The sequence below is a fragment of the Homo sapiens genome, chromosome 14 (genome assembly GCF_000001405.40).
Source record: "Homo sapiens chromosome 14, GRCh38.p14 Primary Assembly".
Lineage (NCBI taxonomy): Eukaryota > Metazoa > Chordata > Mammalia > Primates > Hominidae > Homo > Homo sapiens.
Window position 1 is genome coordinate 85,863,985 of NC_000014.9, and position 2,817 is coordinate 85,866,801.

The following is a 2,817-nucleotide window of genomic DNA, read 5'->3' on the forward strand; positions in this document are numbered from 1 at the left end:
GGAGTACCTGTGATATAAGCAGAAAAATCTCTGCCCTTTGGAGTTTACTTTCTAATGGTAATAAATATACACATAGATCAATCAATCAAATACATAAGAAAAAATAGAATACATTAATTTCTGGTAAGAGCTCTGAAGAGGGCTAAAGCAGGGAAGAGGCATGGTAATGCGTGTTGATGATGGTATAATTTTAAAAAGGATAGTCAGGAAAAATTTCACCAGAAAGCTGACATTTAAGCAAAGAGCTAAAGAGTAGCCACGTGCATATTTGAAGGACAGGTTTCCAAATATAAGAAAAAGCAGAAAGCACATAGCCCCTTGTGCCTGGCATGTTGAGGCAAGAAGGTTCATGTGGCTAGAAGAGCCTAGCACGAGAGATTAGTAGGCTTTGAGATAGAGAGAAATGGGGAGCCAGACCACAGTGAATGTTGGAGTCAATTTATCTATTAAGGAGTTGTCACACTGACCTACTTACATTGGAGATATTTTTAGAGGTAATTTTTTTTTTTTTTTTTTTTTTTTTTTTTACTGAGCAATATTTTCTTGGTGGTGTCTGAACTAGTTTCATCCCCATTCTAATCACCTGACAAGAAAACTGAGAGGTAAGCTGTGGTTAAGTAGAATTCGTTAAGATGTTATCTGAGGGGCTCAGAAACAGGCATGGAGCAATGTCCAACACTTTTTCTGTAGAGTTCTCCTGGTTGTGTTAAAGGTACCATATAAATCATAAAAGGAGAACTATAGAAAATTTGCTGTTTTCTTCCAAATAGCAGTAAAGCCATGTTATCTTAATATGGAAGAAACCTACCTATATCATGTGTTTTATAGAGTAAGGGATACTAGGTGAATCATTGTGATGGACATCCAACAGTGATTATGGAGATGGCTAAAACTAGTTTGGTTTTAACAGCAAACAGTGATAAGGATAATACTGTATTGTGTCTTACTCTTCTATCCAACTGACCATCTACTCATTAGATATCAAACTGCTCTTCTTGATCAAGAGAAATCCTCCCGGCTCTTATGATTCCTAGCGTGCCCAGTAGAGCCAAAAGCACTCACTCAGTAAATACTTGCAAAGTGACTAATAAGTGTGCCTCAGGTATTCTGAAATAATCGGTGGTGATTTAATTTAAATATGTAAAAATAAATATTTTAAACAATTATAATCAATGGAATGCCATTTGCCTTAGAAATAAAGATAAGTCATTTTCTTAAAAAATATATGGTACAGCTGAAACATGAGCATTCCTAACAATGGAATTTGAAGTTTGTAAGATTTAATTTATAATCTAAAGATCAAATGACTTATCAAATTAATTATATTCCTTCTAAATGTAATGTGCTAATAAAATTCACACAAGTATATCGCAATAGCTTTTTCAAGAAATATTTCGCTACTCTAGATGGAACTAAGTGGAGGACTTCTATGTGTCTTTCTGTGGTATGGTGAAAAGAACATTAGATTAGAAGGTAGAAAAAATGAGTTCTACCTTTGATGAATTTGTTAACTAATTTATATGACTTTTGAAAACCACCCACATATTCTTGCCTGCTTCCTCATCTATCAAACAGCTTTTGTCCAGAGGCCTTACCCTGTGCCCACATTGTTCTAAGCACTTTATGTATACGATCTCATTAACTCTTCCCAATATCCATTATGTAAGACTGCCTCCTAATGAGAAGGTTAAGTTAAATTAGTTTGGCTATTTCTGAGGTCTGTTATAGCTCCAAAAATTCCAATTTATTCAAATCAGTGTGTTTATTTCCCCATGGAGCAAGAGAAGAAATACCGTGCACGAGCACATGTTAGTAGCTGACCACGCAGAGAATCTGATGCCTTTTCATCACCTGCCTTAGCAACTTAATGGCACATGATTATTGAACTAAAATTTTGATGCATAGTCTAGATTTCTCAACCTCTGGCTACAGAGTTGGATATTACTGCATGAAATATTACTTCTATCTGTAATAACAGAATCACTGGGGGAATGTGAGTTAATTAGAACCTCACTGCAAAAGCTTGGGCAATAGCCCATTAAATGTTACAACTTCAGCAAATACAGATTGTGGAAAAATGCTAGTTTCTAGAAATATGTTCACATTATTTTGTTATAGGACAACTTAACAATTCCTGTCACCACTGTAACTTCACTAAGTGACTGTCGCTGCTGATCTTGAGGGAACAGAGATATTTACTAAAGCAACATAAAGCAATAGTTTTTATATTCCTTTTTTTCATTTGCACAAAGACATGGATTATATGATTAAAAGAAAATTGCCATAGGGTAACGATTCAATAAGCTACATGCACAAAATGATTTTTGGGGATATGTTTTCTTATCAACAAGAATAATTTCTCTTTTTAATGTGAAATATTTTCCAGGTAGTTTCAGTATAAAGAAGAAATTGCTTTTGTGTGTTTATTAATAAATGATCAGGTATCTCTATAAGAGAGCCTGGAACAAAAGAAATGTTTAAGTAGATAAAATATTATAATTTGTTTAAGTATAAAAGGAGAAGGAAAAACAGATTCTTATTTAATAAAGGTTTGAGTACAAGCATGTTTCCTGTTACCAGCAATTATTACCTAACTTGATAAGCCAGCATGTAGTTATTGGAAAACGCTTGTGAAAATAGAGTATTACTTTACCACTATTGGCCTATAACTGCCTGTATGAATAGTCATGGCTCTTTATCACTGATTTTGCTTATGTCTCTGCTCTGATGAAGAAAGACAAAACCGTGGGTGCCAAATTCTGGGAATAGAGCAGCTCAATTATCATTTGGACTCATTTGAATCCCACAGGACCACAC

The 2,817-nt window shown here is 34.5% G+C and overlaps 1 annotated feature.

The window, feature by feature from the left end:
• Nucleotides 2,284–2,453: an enhancer, noted in NCBI's record as "experimental_38246 CRE fragment used in MPRA reporter constructs". NCBI's record gives its function as "activates a minimal promoter by MPRAs in K562 erythroleukemia cells, with activity observed for both the introgressed and non-introgressed 14:86332697 variant alleles {active_cell/tissue: K562}" and the evidence as "EXISTENCE:reporter gene assay evidence [ECO:0000049][PMID:34662402]".